General features: G+C 36.3%; 1 long non-coding RNA gene across 2 annotated transcripts in view; it reads left to right on the forward strand.

Annotated features, from left to right (window-relative positions):
• LOC105371657 (uncharacterized) overlaps positions 1-27360 on the forward strand; it is a 453818-nt gene that overhangs the window by 5895 nt on the left and 420563 nt on the right. The window lies entirely within an intron of this gene.

Below are 27360 nucleotides of genomic sequence, written 5' to 3' on the forward strand. Positions count from 1 at the left end.
ATGAAAGTAGGAGCTAGATATAGAAATACATAAGTAACACATTGTCTGTCTTTGTTTTTAAGTAAATTAACATGTAGAGTGGTAGATAGACAAATAGCTAGGCAAATATAAATCAGAGTAAAGAATACAACAATAGATGGGATGCTATTGACATACATAGGCTGGAAAACAACCTATATTTAGGAACACATAGAAACATTGACCAAATTCTTAATACGAGGTAGATATTAGAGTAGTCATTCAGAAATATGGTTTTGAAGAAAACGGAATAGCATGCATACAGTATTGGAAGCAAGATAAAATATGACTAATCTTTAGAATTCCAAGAAATTGTGTGTGATTGGAGTACAGATCGTGGAAAGCGAGAGTTGAAAGTCGAGGAAGAGGGATCATCATATTTTTAGGGTAGAGAAAGCAAATGTAGAAGATTGAGAAACAGGTAGTGAAGGGCTTTATATTGTGCTAAGCAGTATGGCCATTTTCCTATGAGCAACAGGGAACTTTTGAAGAAGTTTAAAAATAAGAGTAGCATAATCAAATTTGAATTAAAAAATTACTCTGATGCAAGGTAGAGAATACTTTTGTGAGAGATAAAACTGGAAGCAGAGAGTAATTAATAGGCTGTTGTAATAATTTTAATGAAAGAGAATGCCAAACTTAATCAAGGTAGGAATAAAGGATGTCAAGAAATGTAATGGAGGCCAGGCGCGGTGGCTCATGCCTGTAATCCCAGCACTTTGGGAGGCTGAGGCAGCGGATCACAAAGTCAAGAGTTTGAGACCAGCCTGGCCAACATAGTGAAACCCCATCTCTACTAAAAATACAAAAAATTAGCTGGGCATGGTGGCGGGTGCCTGTAATCCCATCTACTTGGGAGGCTGAGGCAGAAGAATCCCTTGAACCCAGGAGGCAGAGGTTGCAGTGAGCTGAGATTGCACCACTGAACTCCAGCCTGGGGCGACAGTGTGAGACTCCATCTAAAACAAAAAGAAAGAATTGTAATGGACTTGAATGATATTGATAACATAAAGCTCTATGTATGTGGTAATATGATTGAAGTAAAGAATATGGTGATCAGAATCAAGTATCATGTTCTGATTTTCAATTCTGAAAACTCAGTATATATTTGTTTCAATGACTAAGGTGAGGATCAAAGGAAGAAGAGAAAGTTAGTGGAATGGGATAGACATAATTTTCTACTTAGCATACTGTATTTGGGGAACCTCTAGAACATCTAGTACCACATATTTAGGTGAAGCTCAGGACAGAGATTTAAGCTGGCGATATATGTTATGAATAGTTAGTGATAGCCTATGGTAAGTCCTATGCATAAATGATTTAAAGTCCCAAATTACAGCAAATTTTAAAGCAATTGATCACCAAATGCAAACCCCTCTTAAGAGAACAACTAAGATTTACCTTAATAACACATAACTATATGGCAAGAAGATGAAGACAATAGAATAGAAATGTCTGCAAAATTTTGCCTTTGTAGTGAAATGCCTTTTTGTTTTTTAATATCACAAAGAGACCATTACTAGACTTCAGAACCCAACTCAAAATCACAAGTCTTAAATTATATATGCTATGTTCCAGACATGAGTGAAACAAACAAAACAAATACCACAAAAGAGAAATACTTTTATGGAAAGATTTAATTTATTTCATTAAACCCCATTGACTGTAATCTGGAATATGTCTGTATATTGAAACTATATATCTGTGTATTTAATAAAGATATTAAAAATTATTAGTCAAAAGTTGAAAAAAAATTGTCCTAATTCAGATGGATAATTATTTAAAACCAAAGTTGAGAGTTGGTTAGAGAATTTAGAAAGGAAATCACATTTTAAGTTTTGTCTCTGAATTCTCAATGTCACATCTTCATTTAATTATTGTTATTTTAATTCAAAATATGGATTCCATCAAAGGCCAAGGTATAAGATGAGCTTATTAAAAATGTTTAGTTTGAAAAGAGCAAGGGAATAATAATGAAAAATTAAAGAATACTATATTACTGATTTATGGCATATAGCAATTCAATATTGGATACTAGCTGGGGTGTATGTGTGTGCATGTGTGTTTTGATAGGTTGTGTTTTTATTTTTATTCATCTCAGGATATTTTAAATTGTGCCTCTTAATTTCTTTTTTGACCTATTGCTTGTTCAGAAGCATATCATTCAACTTCCACGTGTTTGTAAACTTTTCCAAATTTCTTCTGTTACTGTTTATTAGCCGTATTCTATTATAATCAAAAATAAGGCTAGGGGTGTTGGCTCATGGCTGTAATCCCAGCACTTTGGGAGGCCAAGGTGGTCAGATCACTTGAGACCAGGAGTTCAGGAACAGGCTGGTCAATATGGCAAAAATCTATCTCGACTAAAAATACAAAAATTAGCAGGTATGGTGATGTATGGCTGTAATCCCAGCTACTTAGGAGGCTGAGGCAGGAGAATCCCTTGAACCCGGGAGGTGGGGTTTGCAGTGAGCAGAAATTGTGCCAGTGCACTCCAGCCTGGGCAACAGATACTCTGTCTCGAAAAAAAAAAAAAAGAAAAAAAAACCTGCTTGATATTTGATATTTGAGTTCACTCCTGAGACTTGTGTTAGCAGGCCGCCTAGCCTTTCTGCTAAGGCACTAGCAGACGTGATGCCTCCCAGACCATTTGGTGGATAGTTTTGATAACAGGCACACAACCAAATGGTTAGGCAGCCAGACACTTCAGGGAACGTGGCCATTTCCATGTCTGAACCTAGAAGCACAATCGCATATGTGTTTTCACTTTCAAAAAGACTCTCCTCCATGGTCTTGGGCTCCACCAGGGTTTTACGACCTCCTACCTGAATCCCAAGGATCTCACCAAAACACAAAAATGCTTTTTTTTTTTCCCCATGGATGAGTGCAGAATTGTTGTTCTTAGAGGATATAAATAGGTGACTGAGTATTCTGCTATCTTACCCTCTAATAACTTTGTAATAACTTTTTAACATTCTTTTCAGTTATTCCCATTATTTCCATTTCTATTGTCTGAGTTCTCTCCTGCTGTGTGTCATGTTTTTTTCCTTCCTCACATCTCTAATATTTTCATTTCATGCCTGATATTGGGAATTTTGTGTTACTGAATGTTAGATTTTTTGAATTCTTTTAAGAAAAGTTGCAATTTTATTGTTAGGCAGTTATTTGAACATAACTGTTCACATTTTGAGAGGTGTCTTTTTTTTTCATTTTGGGTAGATCAAAGAAGCATTGCTTTTGTGGCTAGTTTAGCATTGTTACTATGATGTGACTCTTCTGATATTTTTATTAAATATCCCGTGTATTCAACCATGTCTATGCACTTTGGCTTTGACATCTCCAGCAATTTCTGTTCATTTTTGAATTATGAGAATTTTTCAGCTCCTAGGAAATTGTTATTTACCTGGAAGTTAATTCATGCCTTACATTTCAGAATTACTTGCTACATATTCACAGATTATTAATCAGCCAAAGACTGTAGTGGACACCAGCATAGATTTTTGGATAGTTCTTCTGAACTGTTCCTTTTTGATGGTACTCTACCCCACACACTTTAGCCTTTTAGGCTCCATGGTGGCCTAAACTTTGTCTTTACTTCAACAAAACAGCCAGGCTCTCTTTATCTTCCCATCCCTGGATGTCCAGAACAATGATTTCTTTCTCCCAATAATCATAATGGTGTGCTTATTTTTGTAATGTCTGAAAATTTTTGTTTTGTATTTTAGTGTCCAAATTTCTGGTTATTTAAAGTGAGAGAATAAGTAAATACTCTTATAAAACACTACAGAAAAAAAATGGAGAAATAATTTAAAATAATTTAAATTATTTTGTCTTACCAATATATGATAAAGTAAGTCCAAGTAGATATGTGAGTGGGTGATTATAATTAATTAATTGTATTTGTAATTGTAATTAGTTACTTCTGAATTCCAAGTCAATAGAAATTTGCAGTACCTATATTTTTGTAATAAAGTGCACGAATATTTCTCCTCAATCTGTTGGTAACCAATTATGATAAACAGATGCATATGTTTTTATATTGCCTGTTTGGACACCACATGTGGTTGTTCACTCTTCATCTGCCTGTCAGTATTCTCCACACATCTTTTATCACCCTGGTCTCCTCCTTCAACAGTGCATGGAATCATACATGGAGTCACTGAAAATGTACTATAGGTGGGAAAAATAAAAGAGTGGAGATGCCTCTGCTTAGCTCAGAAATTTATTATTCTCTCAGTTATTCCGTATATTTTATATAGCATTAACTGAGAAAATGTTGATCTCAGTAAATGACAAGTAAAAAGTAAAATATATTTTGTAATTTTGACTATACAGTATATAAAATTATTTAACTTTTGAAATGTTTAGCTCTACTAATCAGATGGTATTATTTGATATCATTAATAGGAATAATATAACAAAGTTCATAGGTTTTTTCTATAATATGCTATTACTTATTTATAAAGAAATTTACACACATTTTCAAGAAAGATATGGCATGAACTTTCATGGATATAGGCAAGAAACAGGTGGTCATAATTCAATATTAGAAAAGGCTAAACTCTTAAACAATTAATGTGTGCCCTAACTTATAGATTACATTTTTCAGAAATCAAAATAGAAGGCATGCTAAATAATATTTTTAACTACTGACAATAGATTTAAACACAATGTATATTTATGTCTATTTTCCTTTCAATATTTTCCTTGAAAAGCTCGGGAGAGAGCAAATACAAATTTTTTACAACTTTTATGGAAATCACAGAAATGTCTATCTTCATGAAAGTCTCCTGATATTTGTAGTTTAATATTTATTGGGCATGTTAGGTACATATTCAATTATTCATTTTAAATAGTAGTTTATTTTGATTTTATCCCAAATATTTAAAGCTAATTTGCAAAAATTTAATGTATCAATCATTAATAATACATGATAGTTTTATGTTATCTTATTTTTCCTTTTAATCAACTTTTTTCAATAATTTTTACCAGCATTTATTCTATTTACTAAGTTGACAAAAATTATAAGACTTTTAAAAATCTCATAATATACTTTCAAAAACACAGATGTAAAAAATAATAAATTGATATTCTTACCCTGAAGTAACATTCTTTGTAAAAGTGCAATTTTCTTTGTTGTTTCTTTAAGGTTTTGGAATGTAAGATATAATAATGCATGAATATCAGTTTGGAAGTATTAGTGGCTCCTGGCAATCTTGATAATGAATTATGTTTCATTGTTCTTCTCCATAATCCAGAGAAAACCTGAACACTGAAGCAAAAGAATGGAACCCAATACCTGTTCACACAGATAGGATCTCTTTTTCCTCTTCTCTGTAACAGTAAATTCTCATGTAAAAACCTACTAAAGGGGCTGGGTGCAGTGGCTCATGCCTGTAATCCCAGCACTTTGGGAGGCCAAGGTGGGTAGATCACCTGAGGTCAGGAGTTTGAGACCAGCCTGGACAACATGGTGAAACCCTGTCTCTACTAAAAATACAAAAATTTGCTGGGTGTGGTGGCAGGCGCCTGTAATCTTCTCAGTAGGCTGAGGCAGGAGAATCACTTGAACCTGGGAGGCACAGGTTGCAGCAGTGAGCCGAGATCACGTCATTGCACTCCAGCCTGGGCGACAAGAGCAAAACTTTGTCTCAAAAAAAAAAAAAAAAAAAAAAAAAGACTGCTGTAAATTTAGTATCATTCTTCATAGAATCTTTTAACTGAAAATATTTCATGCTCTTTCTCCTTTTCACATTACAAGCAGACTATCTGCACTTCATATGAACTGAGGGTAAGCTATATTTTCCTCTGAGGATACTGAAGTTTGTATATTAATATCTTTGCATAAACATTACCAAATTAATGAAACAGTTTTATAAATTAGCAAGCATTTAATTAATAGAGCAAAAATATCTTAGTAAATTATACAGTGACAATCCCATAAAACATTGAAGAGGGATAGTGATTGTACAGTAAATGCGATTTTACTTTTTGTTTTTACTCAATATGAATGAAATTTTACTGTATTATACACTCATGGTTTCATTTCATCAATATCCTGCAAGTAGAGAAGTAAAAAATCTAGTTTACAGTTGGTTTGTACTGTTTTTTTTTTCTTGCATAAATGTCCTTTCTGTTTTGTTTTCAAAATCAGCATGTGAGACTTGTAATGAGAAGTAAGCACTTTTTTTTTTTTTTTTTTTTTTTTTTTTTTTTTAAATTAAGACAGAGTATTGCTCTGTTGCCCAGGCTGGAGTGCAATGGCACAATCTTGGCTCACTGCAACCTCTGCCTCCCAGGTTCAAGTGATTATCCTGCCTCACCCTCCTGAGTAGCTGGGATTACACGGGTCCGCCACCACGCCCGGCTAATTTTTGTATTTTTAGTAGCAGCAGGGTTTCACCATGTCAGTCAGGCTGGTCTCAAACTCCTGACCTCAGGTGATCCACCCGCCTCAGCCTCCCAAATTCCTGGTATTTCTGGCGTGAGCCACGGCAACCGACCATGAGCAGTAAGAACTTCTATATTATTATATTGAGGAATATGTTTTCAGTTGTGATATTTTTATAGTTTGCAATTAAGGTTTTGTGTATTTAATTGTTACTAATTTTTTTATTATACTTTAAGTTCTGGGGTACATGTGCAGAACGTGCAGGTTTGTTACATAGGTATACATGTGCCATGGTGGTTTGCTGCACCCATCAATCCGTCATCTACATTAGGTATTTCTCCTAATGCTATCCCTCCCCTAGCCCCCCACACCCTAACAGGCCCCAGTGTGTGATGTTCCCCTACCTGTGTCCATGTGTTCTTATTGTTCAACTCCCATTTATGAGTGATAACATGCGGTGTTTGGTTTTCTGTTCTTGTGTTAGTTTGCTGAGAATGATGGTTTCCAGCTTCATCCATGTCCCTGCAAAGGACATGAAGTCATCCTGTGTTACAGCTGCATAGTATTCCATGGTATATATGTGCCACATTTTCTTTATTCAGTCTATCATTGATGCGCATTTGGGTTGGTTCCAAGTCTTTGCTACTGTGAAAAGTACTGCAATAAACATACATGTACATGTGTCTTTATAGTAGAATGATTTATAATCCTTTGGATATATACACAGTAATGGGATTGCTCGGTCAAATGGTATTTCTAGTTCTAGATCCTTGAGGAACCACCACACTGTCTTCCACAATGGTTGAACTAATTTACACTCCCACCAACAGTGTAAAAGCGTTCCTATTTCTCCACATCCTCTCCAGCATCTGTTGATTCCTGACTTTGTAATGATCTCTGTTTTAACTGGCGTGAGATGGTATCTCATTGTGGTTTTGAGTTGCATTTCTCTAATGACCAGTGATGATGAGCTTTTTTTCATGTGTCCGTTGGCCGCATAAATGTCTTCTTTTGAGAAGTGTCTGTTCATATCTTTTGCCCACTTTTTGATGGGGTTGTTTTTTTCTTGTAAATTTGTTCAAGTTCTTTGTAAATTCTGGATATTAGCTCTTTGTCAGATGGATAGATTGCAAAAATTTTCTCCCATTCTGTAGGTTGCCTGTTAACTCTGATGATAGTTTCTTTTGCTGTGCAGAAGCTCTTTAGTTTAATTAGATCCCATTTGTCAATTTTGGCTTTTGTTGCAGTTGCTTTTGGTGTTTTAGTAATGAGGTATTTGCCCATGCTATGTCCTGAATGGTATTGCCTAGGTTTTCTTCTAGGGTTTGATGGGTTTAGTTCTTACGTTTAAGTCTTTAATCCATCTTGAGTTAATTTTTGTATAAGGTGTAAGGAAGGGATCCAGTTTCAGCTTTCCACGTATGGCTAGCCAGTTTTCCCAACACCATTTATTAAATAGGGAATTATTTCCCTATTTCTTGTTTTTGTCAGGTTTGTCAAAGATCAGGTTGTTGTAGATGTGTGGTGTTATTTCTGAGTCCCCTGTTCTGTTCCATTGGTCTATATATCTGTTTTCCTGCTAGTACCATACTGTTTTGGTTACTGTAGACTTGTAATATAATTTGAAGTCAGGTTGCATGATGCCCCCAGCTTTGTTCTTTTTGCTTAGGACTGTCTTGGCTATGCAGGCTCTGTTTTGGTTCCATATGAAATTTAAAGTGTTTTCTTTTTTTTTCCAATTCTGTAAGGAAAGTCAATGGTAGCATGATGGAGATAGCGTTGAATCTATAAATTACTTTTGGCAGTATGGCCATTTTCACAATGTTGATTCTTCCTATCCATAAGCATGGAATGTTTTTCCATTTGTTTGTGTCCTCTCTTATTTCCTTGAGCAGCGGTTTGTGGTTCTCCTTGAAGAGGTCCTTCACGTTCCTTGTAAGTTGTATTCCTAAGTATTTTATTTTCTTTGTAGCAATTGTGAATGGGAGTTCATTCATGATTTGACTCTGTTTGTCTGTTATTGGTGTATAGGAATGCTTGTGATGTTCACACATTGATTTTGTATCCTGAGACTTTGCTGAAGTTGTTCATCAGCTTAAGGAGATTTGGGGCAGAGACAATGGGGTTTTCTAGATATACAATCATGTCATCTGCAAAGAGAGACAATTTGACTTCCTCTTTTCCTGATTGAATGCCCTTTATTTCCTTCTCTTGCCTGATTGCCCTGGCCAGAACTTCCAATACTATGTTGAATAGGAGGGGTTGGAGAGGGCATTCTTGTCTTGTGCCAGTTTTCAAAGGGAATGCTTCCAGGTTTTGCCCATTCAGTATGATATTGGTGGTGGATTTGTCATAAATTGCTCTTATTATTTTGAGATACGTTCCATCAATACCTAGTTTATTGAGAGTTTTCATCATGAAGCGCTATTGAATTTTTTGAAAGGAATTTTCTGCATCTACTGAGTTAATCATGTGGTTTTTGTAATTGGTTCTGTTTATGTGATGGATAACGTTTATTGATTTACGTATGTTGAACCAACCTTGAATCTCAGGGATGAAGCCAACTTGATCGTGGTGGCTACGTGTTTAGATGTGCTGCTGGATTCTGTTTGCCAGTATTTTATTGAGAGTTATTGCATCGATGTTCATCAGGGATATTGGCCTGAATTTTTCTTTAATTTCTTGTGTCTCTGCCAGGTTTTGGTATCAAGATAATGCTGGCCTCATAAAATGAGTTAGGGAGGAGTCCCTCTTTTCCTACTGCTTGAAATCGTTTCAGAAGGATTGGTACCAGCTCCTCTTTGTACTTCTGGTAGAATTTGGCTGTGAATCCATCTGGTCCTGGACTTTTTTTTGTTGGTAGGCTGTTATTTGTTGCCTAATTTCAGAACTTGTTATTGGTCTATTCAGGGATTTGACTTCTTCCTGGTTTAGTCTTGGGAGGGTGTATGTGTTCAGGAATTTATCAATTTCTTCTAGATTTTTTAGTTTATTTGCATAGAGTTGTTTATAGTATTCTCTGATGGTAATTTGTATTTCTGTGGGATTGGTGGTGATATCCCCTTTATCATTTTTTATTGCATTTATTTGATTCTTCTCTATTTTCTTCTTTATTAGTCGGCTAGTGGTCTATGTATTTAGTTGATCTTTGCAGAAAACCAGCTCCTGCGTTCATTGATTTTTTTAAGGGTTTTTTGTGTCTCTATCTCCTTCAGTTCTGCTCTGATCTTAGTTATTTCTTGTTTTCTGCTAGCTTTTGAATTTATTTGTTCTTGCTTCTCTAGTTCTTTTAATTGTGACGTTAGGGTGCCTATTTTAGATATTTCCTGCTTTCTCTTGTGGGTATTTAGTGCTATAAATTTCCCTCTACACACTACTTTAAATGTGTCCCAGAGATTCTGGTACATTGTGTCATTGTTCTCATTGGTTTCAAAGAACATCTTTATTTCTGCCTTACTTTCGTTGTTTACCCAGTAGTCATTCAGAAGCAGGTTGTTCAGTTTCCATGTAGTTGTGTGGTTTTGAGTGAGTTTCTTATTCCTGAGTTCTAATTTGATTGTACTGTGGTCTGAGAGACTGTTTTTTATGGTTTCTGTTCTTTTGCATTTGCTGAGGAGTGTTTTACTTCCAATTATGTCGTCAATTTTAGAATAAATGTGAGGTGGTGCTGAGAAGAATGTATAATCCCTTGATTTGGTGTGGGAGAGTTCTGTAGATGTCTATTAGGTCCGCTTGGTCCAGAGCTGAGTTCAAGTCCTGGATATCCTTGTTAATTTTCTGTCTCATTGATCTAATATTGACAGTGAGGTGTTAAAGTCTCCCACTATTATTGTGTGGGAGTCTAAGTCTCTTTGTAGGTCTCTAAGAACTTGCTATATGAATCTGAGTACTCCTGTATTGGATGCATACATATTTAGGATAGTTAGCTCTTCTTGTTGCATTGATCCCTTTACCATTATGCAATGCTCTCTTTGCCCCTTTTGTTGTTTGTTGGTTTAAAGTCTGTTTTATCCAAGACTAGGATTGCAACCCCTACTTTTTTTTTTTTTGGCTTTCCATTTGCTTGGTAAGTATTCCTCTATCCCTTTATTTTGAGCCTATGTGTATCTTTGCACATGAGATGGGTCTCCTGAATACAGCACACCAGTGGGTCTTGACTCTTTATCCAATTTGTCAGTCTGTGTCTTTTAATTGGGGCATTTAGCCCATTTATATTTAAGGTTAATATTGTTATGTGTGAATTTGATCCTGCCATTAAGATGCTACCTGGTTATTTTGTCCGTTAGTTGATGCAGTTTCTTCATACCAATGATGATCTTTACAATTTGGTACTGGTATGTTTTTGCAGTGGCTGGTACCAGTTGTTCCTTTCCATGTTTAGTGCTTCCTTCAGGCAATAGATCTATAAGACATCTTTGAAACACTTACTGGATCTACTTAATCTAAAGGAACCACATTAGAGAAACTTGACCAAAAGAAAATGTATTAGTAAAAATTAATACAAATAACATATGCTAATTTTAAATAAAAGTATATGTTAGGCTAAGCATGGTGGTTCATGCCTGTAATCCTAGCACTTTGGGAGGCTAAGGAGAAGGCAATGCTTGAGCTCAGAATTTGGAGACCAGCCTGGGCAACATAGTAAAACCCTGTCTCTACAAAATAAAAGATAAAAATAAATTAGCCAGGTGTGGTAGAACATGCTTGTAGTCCCAGCTATTGAGAAGCTGACACGGAAGGATCGCTTGAGCCTGGGAGGTTGAGACTGCAGTGAGGTGTGCTTACATCACTGTATTCCAGCCTGCATGAAAGAATGAGACCCTGGCTCAAAAGGCAAAAAAAAAAAAAAAAAAAAAAAAGTGTATATTTCCTATCTGAACCTGTATAAGACTTAATTTTCCAAATGAAACATAATTTGCTGTCCTCCAAAATGAACAGAAAATATCTCTGATGTTTTAATATAAACTTTAGAAATTTATTTGGATATTTTTTCACTTTTGTTGATTCCCAGTATTCAAATTCCTAATGTTATGTGCAGGATATTTAGGTCATACATGGTTTTATTAACAAAAACTCAGTAGTGTGAATGGCTAAAACAAAATATTTCTATACATGTGGTGTTATTTTATAACTGACAATTACATAGTGCTGGATTTTTATTTGTAAATATTTACAAATAGAAGTTTTTCATATTAATTATAGAAAAGGAATTTAAGGGAAAAAATAGAACCAGGAAATCTATTATAATTTATTGTTCCATGTAAACATATATGCTATGAATATTTGTGAAGATTATTATAAGATTTAGAGTGATTTACTAATAGTGATCCTAAAGCATGTATGTTTTTCATCCAAATTTAAAAATCTCAATATAACTGTGATGGTTAATATTGAGTGTCAACTTGATTGGATTGAAAGATGCAAAGTACTGTTCCTAGGTGTGTCCATGAGGGTGTTGCCAAAGGAGATTAACATTTGAGTCAGTGGACTGGGAGAGGCAGACCCACCCTCAATCCAGGTGGGTAGCATCTAATCAGCTGCCAGCACAGCTAGGATAAAAGCAGGCAGAGGAACCTAGGAGGCCTAGACTGTCTAAGTCATCTGATCTCCACCTTTTTCATGTGCTGGATGCTCCCTGCTCTTGAACATTAAACTCCAAGTTCTTTGGCTTTTGGACTCTTGGACTTACACCAGTGATTTTCCAGGGGCTCTCAGGCCTTCAGGCACAGACTGAGGCTGCACTATTGGCTTCCCTACTTTTGAGGTTTTGGGGCTTAGACTGGTTTCCTGGCACCTCAGCTTGCAGAGTCCCCCTGTTGTGGGATTTTAACTTGTGATTGTGTGAGTCAATTCTCCTAATAAACTCCCCTTCATATATTCATCTATCATATTAGTTCTGTCCCTTTAGAGAACCCTGACTAATAACAGATTTTGGTACCAGGAGTGGTTCCAGAGGAACAGTTTAAGGATGGATTCCTTTAGTTGGTTTTGAGATTTCTGGAGTTGGCTGCTTAATATCATTAGACCCCAAAATGCTAAGGACTCTACTTCTAATAGCATAGAGAATACTGATAGTCCTTGGTATGAACTGTTTAGAGAGTTATACAAAATAAATGCATTTGATATTCCTGATTCACCACTTGTGAGAGGCAAGGAGTTTAGTGACTCTATGCATAATACCTTTGACTATATGTGGAGAACCAAGGCATATAATAAAGTTCGTTGGTTGCTCCTAAGTTCACTGGACAAAGTGATGAAAGAAAACGATGAACTCAAGAATTCTAATTCTTGGAAACACTGAGCCTCAAATCTTCTAACATTGCTCTGAATGAGAATCTTATTTCCTGTAGAGAAAGAACTGAAATTGTGGAAAATCAGACACAAGCTCTTATCATGTAAGTGGCTGACCTGCAATAAAAGATGCACGCACAGCCTCGCCAGGTGTCTACTGTTAAAGTGAGGGCATTGATTGCAAAAGAATGGGAGCCTGCACCTTGGAATGGGGACGTGTAGGAGGACCCTGATGAAGCTCTAAGGACACAGAGCTTGTAAACTCTGATGAGCCTTTTATGCCAGAGGAAACAGCTTCCCCATCCCCAGTGGTGGCAACATCCCCTCCCTGACCCATGCTGCAATCAGCCTTTCCACTTTTGTCTGAGGAGATTAACCTTGAACTGCCTGAGGCAACAGTAATGGATTCCCTGAGGAAGTTGCCAGGCAAGACAATTTTGATTCTGCTCAGAATCCAGCCCCAACGCTCCTGTTTGCTTCTAGATCTATAACTAGACAAAGGTCCTGGCAGGCCTCTAAAGGTGAGCTTCAGAGTGTGACCCATGAGGTCCACTATACTCCACAAGACTATACTGTACTATAAAAGAACTGCTTGAGTTTTCTGATTTATATAAGCAGAAATCTGGAGAACAGGCATGGGAATGGATATTAACGGTGTAGGATAATGGTGGAAGAAACGTAAAGTTGGATCAAGATGAATTGATTGATTTGAGCCACACTAAGCAGAGATTCTGCATTTAATATTGCAGCTCAGGGAGATAAAAAGGATTATAATAGTTTATTTTATTGGTTAGCTGAAATATGGATCAAAAGATGGACCACTGTGAGTAAGTTAGAAATTCCTGATCTCCCCTGGTTTAATGTAGAGGAAGAGATCCAAAGGCTTAGGGAGATTGGGATGGTGGAGTGGATTAGTCACATTGGACCTACTCATCCCAGCTGGGAGGGTCCAGAATACATGTCCTTCACTAATAATTTGTGAAATAGATATGTGAGGGCAGCACCTGCATTCTTGAAGAGCTCTGTGATTGCTCTTCTCTGTATGTCACATCTTACAGTGGGAACTGCAGTCACTCAACTATAAAATTTCAGTGCATTGGGAATAATTGGATTCCTAGGAGGCAGGGACCAAGGGGCAACACTCAACCATCAAAGGAGGGTGGGCATAGTTATAATAGACAGCAGAAGCAAAGCTGCAATCAGAATAGTCTGACTCGTGCAGAGCTCTAGCATTGGTTGATTAAGTGTTCTTAGAAGTAAAATTGATAGAGAGCCTACTGCATTCTTGCTTAATTTATATAAGTAGAAAACTTCCAGGTCGAGTGGTCAAAAGACTCATTTGAATTTTAAAAATAGAGAATCATGGCCCCCTCAATCAATTTCCAGACTTAAACCAGTTTACAGAACCAGATCCCCTTTAATGAAGGGGAGGCTGTGTCCCCTTGAGGAAGAACCCCACTACACTGCCAAGAATTTATGCTATTAATCTTTCTCCCATTTTTCCCCAAGGAGACCTATGACTGGCTTTTTACCAGGGTAACAGTGCATTGAAAAAATAAAAACGATCAGACCTTTCAGGGACTACTGTACACTGGCTCTGAGCTGACGTTGATTCTAAGGGACCAAAAATGTCATTGTGGTCCTCCAGTTAAAGTAGGGGCTTAGAGGTCAGGTAACTAGTGGAGTTTTAGCTCAGGTATGACTTACACTGGGTCCATGGATCCCTGGACTCATCCTGTGGTCAATTCCCCAGTGATAAAAATGCATAATTGACATAGACATACTTAGCAGCTGGCAGAACTCCCACATTGGCTCCCTGACTGATTAGGGCTATTATGGTGGGAAAGATCAAATGGAAGCCACTATAGATGCCTCTACCTAGAAAAATAGTAAATCAAAAACAATATTGCATCCCTGGAGGGATTGTGGAGATTATTGCTACCATCAAGGACTTGAAAGACACAGGGTTGGTGATTCCCCACCACATCTCCTTTCTCCTATTTGGCCTCTGCAGAAGACAGATGCATCTTGGAGAATGATAGTGGATTATCATAAGCATAACCAAGTGGTGATTCCAATTGCAGCTGCTGTACTAGATGTGGTTCTATTGCTTGAGCAAATTAACACATCTCTTGGCACCTGGTATGTAGCCATTGATTTGGCAAATTCTTTTTTCTGCATTCCTGTCCATAAGGTCCACCAGAAGCAATTTGCCTTCAGCTGGCAATATAACTTTAATGTCCTACTTCAGGGATATATCAACTTTGTGTAATAATCTTGTTCGGAAAGCTCTTGATCGCTTTTCTCTTCCACAAGCTATCACGCTGGTCCATTACATTGAAGATACTATGCTGACTGGATACATTAAGTGAGAAGTAACAAACACACTGAACTTATTGGTGAGATATTTGCATGCCAGGGAATGGGAAATAAGTCCTACTAAATTCATGGACCTTCTACCTCAGGAAAATTTCCAGGGGTCCAGTGGTGTGAGGCCTGTCGAGATATTCCTTCTAAGGTGAAGGATAAGTTTCTGCATTTGGCCCCTCCTACAACCAACAAAGAGGCACAATGCCTAGTGGGCCTATTTGGATTTTGGAGGCTACACATTCCTCATTTGGTTGTGTTATTCTGGTACATTTATGGAGTTACTGGAAAAGCTGCCATTTTTGAGTGGGGTCCAGAACAGAAGGAGGCTCTGTAACAGATCCAGGATGCTGTGCAAGCTGCTCTGCCTCTTGGGCCATATGACCCCGCAGATCCAATGGTGCTTGAGGTGTCAGTGGCAGATGGGGATGCTGTTTGGAGCCTTTGGCAGGCTCCCATAGGTGAATCACAGTGGAAACCTCGAGGATTCTGGAGCAAGTCCCAGCCATCTTCTGCAGGTAACTACTCTCTTTTTGAGAACCAGCTCTTGGTCTGTTACTGGGCTTTGGTGGAAACTGAATGTTTGACTGTGGGTCATCAAGTCACCATGTGATCTGAACTGCCTATTATGAACTGGGTGCTTTCTGACCCATCTAGCCATAAAGTGGGTTGTGTGCAACAGCATTCTATAATCAAATGGAAGTCATATGTATGTGATCAGGCTCTACCAGGTCCTGAAGGCACAAGTAAGTTACATGAGGAAGTGGCTTGAATGCCCATGGTCCCCACTCCTGCCTTTTCTCCCCCATCTTGCACCAATGGCCTCATGGGGCATTCTCTATCATCAGTTAACAGAGAAAGAGAAGACTAGGGCCTGGTTCACACATGGTTTTGCACGACATGCAGGCAGCATCTGAAAGTGGATGGCTGTAGCACTACAGCCTCTTCCTAGGACATCCCTGAAGGACAGCTGTGAAGGGAAATCTTCCCAGTTGGCAGAACTTCAAGCAGTGCAACTCGTTGTGCACTTTGTTTGGAAGGAGAAATATCCAGATATGTGATTAGATATTGATTCATGCGTTGTAGCCAATGCTTTGGCTGGATGGTCAGGGACTTGGTAAAAGTACGATTGAAAAATTGGTGGCAAAGAAATTTGGGCAAGAGGTGTGTGGATAGGCCTCTCTGAGTGGTCAAAAACTGTGCAGATATTTGTATCTCACGTAAGTGCTCACTAAAGAGTGACCTTAGCAGAAGAGTACTTTAATAACCAAGTGGATAGGATGATGAGTTCTGTGGACACTACTCAGTCTCTTTCCCCACTCACCCCTGTTATCATCCAATGAGCCCATGAACAAAGTGGCCATGGTTGCAGGGATGGAGATTACACATGGGCTTAGCAACATGGACTTCCACTCACCAAGGTTGACCTGGCTATGGCCACTTCTGAGTGACAAATTTGACAGCAGCAGTGACCAGCACTGTGCCCTCCATATGTCACCATTTCTCGAGGTGATCAGCCAGCTACTTGTTGGCAGGTTGATTATATTGGACCTCTTCCATCATGGAAAGGACAGCAGTTTGTTCTTACCAGAATAGACACTTACTCCGGATATGAGTTTGCATATCCTGCACGTAATGTTTCTGCCAAGGCTACCATCCATGGACTCACAGAATGCCTTATTTACCATCATGGTATTCACTTTATGGCAAAAGAAGTGCAGGAGGGGGCTCATGCTCATGGAATTCACTAGTCTTACCATGTTCCCTGCTATCCTGAAGCAGCTGGATTGATAGAACATTGGAGTGGCCTTTTAAAGTCACAATTACAATGCTAACTTGGTGATAATAATTTGCAGGATTGGGGCAAATTTCTCCAGAAGGCTGTGTATGCTCTGAATCAGCATCCAATATATGGTACTCTTTCTCCCATAGCCAGGATTTCTGTGTCCAGGAATCAAGTGGTGGAAGTGGAAGTGGCCCCAGTCACCATCAACCCTAGTGACATCCTAGCAAAACTGTCACTTCCTGTTCCTGCAACATTATGTTCTGCTGGCCTACAGGTCCTAGTTTCAGAATGAAGCGTGCTGCCACCAGGAGACAGAACAAAGATTCCATTAAACTGGAAGTTAAGATTTCCACCTGGACACTTTGGGCTCCTCCTATCTCTAAGTCAGCAGGCTAAGAAGGGAGTTACAGTGTTGGCTGGGGTAATTGACCTGGACTATCAAGATGAAATCAGTCTGTTGCTCCACAATGGAGGTAAGGGAGAGTATGTGTGGAATACGTAAGATCCCTTAGGACATCTCTTAGTATTATCATACCTTGTGATTAAGGTCAATGGAAAACTACAGCAACCCAATCCAGGCAGGACTACAAATGGCCCAGACCCTTCAGGAATGAAGGTTTGGGTCACTCCCCTGGGTAGAAAGCCATGACCTGCTGAGGTGTTGCTGAAGGCAAAAGGAATACGGAATGGGTAGTAGAAGAAGGTAGTCATCCATACCAGCTATGACCATGTGACCAGTTGCAGAAATGAGCACTGTAATTGTCATGAATATTTTCTCTTTATTTTATTAAGAACATGTTTGTGCCTGCATACACTTGTACTAAGAAAATATCTTCACTTTAATTCCTTTCGTTTTTCTTTATCATGTGACATAAGATTTATTGACTCCACATCAGCATTTAAGTGTTGTTAACTTTATGTAATAGCATGTAGGTTAAGGATTAGTGTTCTTCCTGTTGTAAGAAGGATAGCTGTATTATGTTAGGTGTAATTATAACCTTATAATTGTCTTTATTTGAAGATTATATAGATTTCAGGAGATGTGTATGGGTTCAAGTTGATAAGGGGTGGACTTGTGTTGCTTAATATTGAGTGTCAATTTGATTGGATTGAAGGATGCAAAGTATTGTACCTGGGTGAGTCCGTGAGGATGTTGCCAAAGGAGATGAACATTTGAGTTGGTGGACTGGGAGGGGCAGACTGTATTAGTCCATTTTCAAACTGCTGATAAAGACATACCTGAGACGAGGAAATTTACTAAAGACAGGTTTATTGGACGTACAGTTCCACGTGGTTGGGAAAGCCACAAAATCATGGTGGAAGGTAAAAGGCACATCTCACATGGTGGCAGACAAGAGAAGAAGTGTGCTTGTGCAGGGAGACTCCCATTTTTAAAACCATCAGATCTTGTGAGACTTATTCACTATCACGAGAGCAACATGAGAAAGACCTGCTGCAATGATTCAGTTACCGCCCACCAGGTCCCTCCCATAACACTTCGGAATTCAAGATGAGATTTCGGTGGGGACAAAGCCAAACCATATCACAGATCCACCCTCAGTCTAGGTGGGCAGCATCTAATCAGCTTCCAGCATGTCTTGGATAAAAGCAGACAGAGGAATGTGGAAGGTTTAGACTGGCTAAGTCTTCTGGCCTCCATCTTTCTCTTGTGTTGGATGCTTCCTGCCCTCGAACATCAGACTCCAAGTCATTGGTAGCTTGATGGGCATGGCATTGAATGTATAAATTACCTTGGGAAGTATGGCCATTTTCACAATATTGATTCTTCCTATCCATGAGCATGGAACATTCTTCCATTTGTTTGTGTCCTCTTTTATTTCGTTAAGCAGTGGTTTGTAGTTCTCCATGAAGAGGTCCTTCACATCCCTTGGAAGTTGGATTCCTAGGTATTTTATTTTCTTTGAAGCAGTTGTGAATGGGAGTTCACTCATGATTTGGCTCTCTGTTTGTCTGTTATTGGTGTATAGGAATGCTTGTGATTTTTGCATATTGATTTTGTATCCTGAGACTTTGCTGAAGTTGCTTATCAGCTTAAGGAGACTTTGGGCTGAGACAGTGGGGTTTTCTAAATACACAATCATGTCATTTGCAAACAGGGACAATTTAACTTCCTCTTTTCCTAATTGTATACCCTTTATTTCCTTTTCTTGCCTGATTGCCCTGGCCAGAACTTCCAACACTATGTTGAATAGGAGTGGTGAGAGACGACATTCCTGTCTTGTGCCAGTTTTCAAAGGGAATGCTTCCAGTTTTTGCCCATTCAGTATGATATTGGCTGTGGGTTTGTCATAAATAGCTCTGATTGTTTTGAGATACATTCCATCAATACCTAATTTATTGAGAGTTTTTAGCATGAAGGGCTGTTGGATTTTGTCGAAGGCCTTTTGTGCAATTGAAAATATGTCAAGATTAAATGTACAATTCATAAATACAATTGCTAGCATACTTATAGAAATATATTTGTAAATGTCTTATGATTGGGGAGGAAGAAAAGAGTGATGGACAAATGTACTAGTATTTAGCGTTGATATAAATATGTGATTTAAAGATATCTTAAGCAGGCTTCAAATATCTAAATTTGATTGAAAGGTGCCTTATGTAGGCTGTGTGTGTGTGTGTGTGTGTGTGTGTGTATGTGTATATATATTACACACACACATATACACACATGTGTGTATGTTTACATTTATTTAATTGTACTCCTGAACAATGTTTCTCATGATTGATTTTCTCCTTTCTCTTTACTTTCCTTCTTTTCTTGCATTAGCTTGTTGCAATAAGTGTAGCCAGTATGGTCCAGAATAATGAATCCTGTACTCTGTTGCTAAAGAGTGTCTCTTGAAGAATTGAGATTATGTTTGAATTCCTTCATGAGCTCTCCCCTTGAAAAAGCAGGTTAGATTTGACATTTGTAATATCTTTTTCACTAACAGACACTGTTAGTTGTTTGAAATTATGTATAGTAGTCCCAAGCATTATTATCTCTAGATGAAAAAATGGAATTAATATTGTTTACCTAGAGTGTTAATGGCATTACAGATATCCTTGAGTGTATGCATTTTTAAAAGATTATTACTTTCTACATTTGAAAAGGAATTTTTATCTCCTCATAAAGATGGAATAAAAGGACCACATTTACTCTCCTGCCTGAAACAACAAAAGACAAGGCAATTACATGAAATAACTGTTTTCAAGACACTAGACATCAGGCAGCAAGGACAATGATCCCTAAGGGACACACAAAAAATAAAATAAGCTCTATGATTTCTCTATTTACTGCCTTGAGAGAGATTCCAAGTTGTGGCATTGGTAGGGTGAACCTAGGTGTAATGCAAAGACCTTCTGTGTTGAGATTCAGCTAAGAGAAGCAGGAGATCAAGACTGCTGAACTTTCTGGACAAATTATCAGAGAACAGAGAGCTGCATAGAGAGAGAGAACTCCAGAGGTCTCCTGAGGTCCTCCCTTAAGTATTCAGAATATGGATTGACACAGATGAAAATCACAACAGCAATGATTGATTTCACAAATTATGAGACCAGATAAAGAAAGTACCTCTGAAATGATTAGAGATAAGGGTGTCTGGCACTTACATATAGCTGAGAACATTGTCTGCTTCTATCAGCCAGATGTAAAAGCCTCATAATTTATAGGGCACTTAGTAGGGTACTCAGAAAGGTCTTGCTTTAGTGGTGCAAAATAATAACATGCAGACTAAATCCTCCTCTGGAGAAGGATCGCAAAAATGAAAAGCCATGCTACAAACTAGGAAAAATACATTTAAGTCACATATCTGATAATGGACTTGTGTTCAGAATATATAAACTACTCCCAAAACTCAGTAATAGAAAAACAGTTTATCAAAAAATGAGCAAAATATTTGAACTGATACTTCACTAAAGAAGATATATGTATAGCCAGTAAATACATAAAAATACTCAACATTATCTTTTACTAAGGAATCACAAATTGAAACCAGTAAGAAATATGACTGTAAATCTTTTAAGCTAAAATTGAAATACTAACAATGATAAGTCCTGGAGAGGACTGCCTAGTTCATAATTTTATTTGACCTCATAGACTTCTGAGAGACTTGCATTCCCTCATAAGTGTATTTTCTACTTGCAACCTCCCTTGAAAATATTATTTTGAGGTGAAGTTCAACCGGAATGCCCTATGGTTTTTCCTAAATCCAGTTATATTAACTCTCTGTATTTCTAGAAACTCACCAATATGATGCACTAATAACTTTGCAGAATTGTGAGGATTTTTATCTATTTATATGAGCTTGTTAATATTGCAAGAGTAAATTTGGAGCAGAAACATAAAGATTATAGAGCATAATGCCAGATTGATCTTGAAGGCCATGCTCATGTTTCCCTATGTATTTAAAGATACTTTTTGCAATTATATGTTTTAAATGACAGTATTGGCTTAAAATATTTATTTACAAAATTTGTAATTAAAACTATTTGCCTTAATATAGCAACATAATTTTAGACAATAATATATGCTCATATCATTGTAAAATATTTTCTACACTCATCTGTCATGGATAATACTACCATTAATCTTGACCTTTCTTATATCCTAAGAACTAGGGAATGGTATGCATGAAGATAATGGCAAGAATAATATGCCACTTATTAAAATTCCAGATTTCGGCTTCAATTTACTAGCTATTCCACATATTAATGACCAATTTCTGGAGTCTGCAATAAGATCTAGTAAAGTTGTCATAAAATTATAACCCTAAGGGTTGAAATTGAACTACAAATTACTTTTGCTTCACCAGCAGTATTTTTAAAACTGAATTTAAATTTGGTGGGGACATTCATCTCAGATAGAATACACCTCTACACCCCTGGTTTAAGATAGACCTTTTCAAGGATGGGATGATTTCCTCATATGGGAGTTAATGCCAGTATCATATTGTTATATCAGCTACATGGAGCCCTAAAAGAGCATATGCTCCTAAAAGACCTTGGAATATCAGACTCAAGAAAAAGAAAACCCAAATAAGAAAATGTTTCTTTAAAAAAAATATATTCTTTCTTTTTCTTTAATACCCTGTAAGAAGACTGAAACTTAGCTAAATATGCCAACTCATCTATTGATAGATTTAGTCAATTATTATATTTTTGCATTGTGTTATTTAACTCAGTATTTTGAGATAATTATGGATTTATAAGCACTTGTAAGAAATAATACACACATGCCTCATGCCCTTCACCCAGTTCCTTCCAATAGTAATCTTTTGCCCCTGTTGTCTTATGAAGCAACTCTTGGAACAGGTATTTGAGTGCTCCTGTCTTCTTTGTCTAGCATCTTCTCTGCTCATCATTTTTTCTGTTCATCATCTTTTCTGCTTCAACTGGGTCCCTCTCAGTCTTTGTAACTTTTCTTAGGGTTTCACAGATATTACTTCTTTGCCAAGGCTCTTATGGCTTTGATGAAATACCTTGATGTGTAATGCTGCCTGTGTAGAAACAGCTGCTTACCTGGAGAATGCTGCATTTTCTTACCAAGTTTAAAAACTATTAGTACCCTAAGTCTTAGAATATCTTCTCTTGGCTATAGCTGTTAAAATACAATTAAAATCAGTATATCAGAGAGATATCTGCACTCTCATGTTCATTGTAGTGTTATTCACAATAGCCAAAATTTAAAATCAACTTAAGTGATCCTCAACAAATAGGTAAAAAGAATGTGAGATATATACATACATACATAAATACACACACACACATAGACAGACACACACACACACAATAGAATACTATGCAGCTTAAAGGAAAAGGAAATTTTGTAATTTGTGAAAACATAAAAACATGGGTGAATCTGGAGGACCTTATTTAAGAAAAATTTAAAAAAAAACAGGCACAGAAAGATAAATACTAAATCATCTAACTTACATGTGGAATGTACTAATGTTGAACTCACATAAACAAAGAATAAAATGATGGTTACCAATGGCTGATGAGTCGGGATTGGGAACATGTTAGTCAAAAGACATACAATTTCAGTTTGACAACAGGAATACGTTAAAGAGGTATGCTGTACATTGTGGTGACTACAGATAAAAGCAACATATTGTATTTTTGAAAATCTCTAAGAGAATAGGTTTTAAGTGTTCTCAGTATAAACAAAGTGCGATAATGCATATATTATTTAGCTCCATTTAGCCATTCCACAATTTACTCATATATCCAACATTACATTATACATCACAAAAATATACAATTTTTACTTGTCAATTAAAATAAATCATAAGTAATATAACTACAGAACTTAAAAGTTACATGGTCTAATATAAGCCTGTATGAATTATCAGCTCAGAATGCTCTTCTTACACACTAAACACTTGACTTGGCAATGCTAAAAGCCTGAACTCAAGTAAAGATTGGTTTACATCTGTAGACAAGTTAGATGTGTGTATCAGAATCTTAAAATTAAAGAGTTTTTGCCCAATTAACTCTAAGTTACATGTCTAATTTTTTCTGCTTCTTTGCAATTTATGCTAGAATATGCAAGAGATAATGTTCTTGTTTCCTGTATCAATATCTCCTCTCAAGAAAAGGAAGAAAGGACAGAGTTATGTACCCTGAGTTCACTAATCAGATAAAAGTTGTGGAGAGAAGCTGATAATATTATGCTAATGAAGGGTTATGAGTACCATCTCTTTCCACCAACATGTATTTCCTCTCGTTGGTTATGTTTCCTTCTCTTGTTTTATGTTTCCAATGTTGTCCTTAATCTATTTGATGACATTTTGTTTATTAAAAGCTTTTTTTTTTCCTGGTACAATGATTCCATTTCTTCTGCTTTAGACACAAATTAAACATTCTAATGAGGATGGCTGTGGCAGGGACTTCCACTTGCCTACTCAGATAATTCATTCTCTTTTCTTGGTTTTGTTTTTGTTGTTTGATTACAATAATAAGACAGAATGTCTCAGAAAAGAGTTATGTCCAGCTAAAAATATAAACTTTACCTTCCCTCACATAATAGGTGATACCAATCAAATATAAGAAAATTTTGGGGGAGTTTCAATGAAAGCTCCTTAAAGAGGCCTGACTCTTGAATCAACTGGTAGGCTCCTTTTGCCCTTTGCTCTTTTTCTTCTTGCCTAGAAAGTGGCTGTGATTGCTAGAGCTTCGACAACCAGCTTTTAAGCTTGAGGAGACTTTGAGTATGCAGAGCACATGATATCTATGATAGAGTAGATACATAAGATCCTGGATTTCTGATGGTTTTATACAATTGTGTTGTACAAGCCCTAGACTGTCTCCTTAAACTTTGACGTAATGTGAGATAAAAAATCGGGCCTTAAGGTCTTTAGTAGAGAACTCTGTTACTGTAAGCCGAATGAAATTTATTTCTTATTTACTCCCCCAAAAATACAACAAGCAGCAAAACTTAATTTCTCTACTGGCAATCCCAACTCATTAGCTTTCTGTTTTTCTCTCCTTATTATCAAACTTTATGCAAATAACAATGCTTTACTGGCCCTGTGCTGTTTCTGGTAGCAGTATCTTAACCCATCATCCAGTACTTATATCTAATGATAAAAAACATGAGTAAAGGTTTATATATAATATATGATTTAAAAAGGAAGTATTTTAGAACATGAGAAAACAGAAAAACAGTTTCAATTTCAGTTCATGTAGCAGAATCTGATGGACAGCAGACATTTTCTTCTTGAACAGTTAAGACCATGAAAGGTTCTTCACTCATCTCTTGCACAAGATTTTCTAGTGATAATCAACAGGATTGTGAAACCAATGTGCATGGGAGCTGTGGATTTGAATGATGTTAAGTAGATTTAAAAACAGAGAGGCTGGATAATGTTGATACTTTGTAATAATTGTGTAAGTAGAGATATAGCACTGTATCAATTAATTAAATGAATTTAATGTAATTGTTTTAGATCTGTTGCTAAAGAGGTGTAGAAAATAGGATGCCAGAATCTTTAACATGTTAACCTTAGCTAATGCTGAGATTTCTAATTGAAAGGGATAAACTTCTGGCTCACTGCCGTATTGATAATTAGCAGTGTGTTCTTTTTGCTCCCCATCACACTGTTTATGTATTTTCCTTAGAGATAACATGTATTATGATAACATTTTATGAAAATGTACAGTATGCTGTGAGACACTTTAGGGTATGAATAATTTCTTATTCATCTCAGTATCTGTAGTAGCCAGTACAAATCTGATACAGAGTAGGATTTAAATAAACCTGTGCTTTATGAATGAATGCTAGTGGAAAAAAAATACACAGAAGTAATAAGAAGGGAAGTATCCTTTTCAGAGAAAATGATGAAGTCTGCTTTTCATATTGTAATATTAAGTATTTTTGAAGATATAATATTTATATAAGTTTATATTAAAGAATAATAAATATTTGAGGCATGAAGAAAGGAAGAACTTTGATATTCTTATCATTTAAGTTGTGTGGTTTTAAATGCATTAGTAGATACAGCTGCCTTATTTAATTTACAATTTTGTGTCATTTCTAGTTTTTTCTTGGCTAGATCTATCAGTTTTTGTGTTAGTTGTGTCAAAAGCTAACTTAATATACCATGGTAACTTGTAATTTCATTTAATTTACACACATATACACATTTGAAATCATATTCTAGGTTTATGAAGTTCATATTTTTATATCTTATTGGTAATTTTTCTTATACAGCATTTTACTTTTCTTATTAATGTGTTTTTGCCTGAAATTCATTAATTTTTATTAACTTTTGCTTAACCAGTTTTAATTGGTAAATATTTTTCATAATTTTTCATCATTTTTGTTTGATTTTCAATGTGCCTTTGTTTTTGGTGCTTAATAGCAGTATGGAAATCAAGTTTTGTTTTGCTCATTTTGTGCTTTTTATTACCATGCTTTTAAGTTTTTTCTAAAAAAATGTTAGGGTAGATTGATAGATTGAACTTTTTAATCAGTCTTTTGATGTTTTTTTAAAATTGATATACAGTAAATTTTACCATATATCATAATTACAACAAGATGTGAAAATTTCAGAGAAGAATAAATCAACCCCTCTGTATCAAGGAAATAGAATGGTACTAGTAACCCCACACACTGCCTTTCTTATATGCACCACCTTCCATCCCCTAAAAGCGAACCTATTCTGAACTTTTATTTTATTTAAAAAAATTATTTTCTTTAAAATGTTACTACATATATAAGTATCCCTTAAAATATGTTTGCATATAGTTATTTGGACAATGGACAATGTCAAAATATCAGAGTTTTTTTTTCTCTGTGGTTTAGTCTCTTATTCAACTATGTCTTTTGAAACTCATCTAAGTTCGTTAATAATTCATTTATATGACTTTATTGTTTTTTATTATATTATATTACCATGGCTTATTTATCACATCTACTTTTGATGGCCATTTAGATACTTTCCAGTTTTTGCTATTACAAACAAGGTTGCTCACATATTCAGATGCACATTTGTGAAAGATTCTCTAAGGCAGTGGTTCTCCATTGGGGATAATTGTGCTCCTCCTAAAAGAAGATATTTGACAACATATGAAAATGTTTTAGGGTTGTTACAACTTGAGTTAGGGATTAATATTGGCATCTAAGCTGGCACAAATCACTAGAAATGTTGGTAAGCATCCTAGTATGCATAGGATGGCTGCTCCCTCAACAAGAAAGAATCACCAAGCCCCGAATGCCAATAATATTGTTACAGAAACATCATCATTCTGGGTCTAAAATCAATAGTAGAATTACTATGCATATCAAATGTATTAAGACTAAAATGTTTTCCAATTTAATTTCCCATCAGCAGTGTGTGAGAGTTCCAGTTACTCTATGTCCTTGCCAACCTTGGGTATCATCAGAATTTGACAATGAGGTGGATGTTCCAGGGTATTACATTTTCCATTAAACTTGTATTTTACTGGTAATAAATGATGTGGAACATCTTTTCTTATGTATTTTGGCCATTTGAATTACTTCGATAAATTTTCTCTTCATTTATCTTATCCTCTCTTTTATTAAAACCTGTTTTTTTTTTTACTAATTAATCCTTAGATGTATTTTATGTACTATGGAAGCTGCTACTTTTGAGAGATATGTACGTAGATTCTGCATCTAATTTTGTAGCTTTTGTTTGTACACTTGCACTTTCTTTTGAAGAACATATGTTTTTTTACTTTAATTTAATTTAATTTACATATATTTTCTTTAATATTTGAAATTTCTATGTTTTGCAAAATTTACCTCGCCTTAAAAGTGACAAAGTTATTTCCCTTTATTATCTTTTAAGCAAATAGCCTTTCAATTTACATTTAGGTATTTAATTCCTCTAGAAGTGATAACTGGGATTGGTGTATTGTTGGATTTTTTTTAACCATACAATCTTCATGCAAAATGGAAAGCTTAAATACGACTGCATGTATCTACAATATAGTTATTCTAGTACAGGATGATAATGATGGCATTTAAAACACGACAGCT

Source organism: Homo sapiens, chromosome 1 (assembly GCF_000001405.40).
Source record: "Homo sapiens chromosome 1, GRCh38.p14 Primary Assembly".
NCBI lineage: Eukaryota > Metazoa > Chordata > Mammalia > Primates > Hominidae > Homo > Homo sapiens.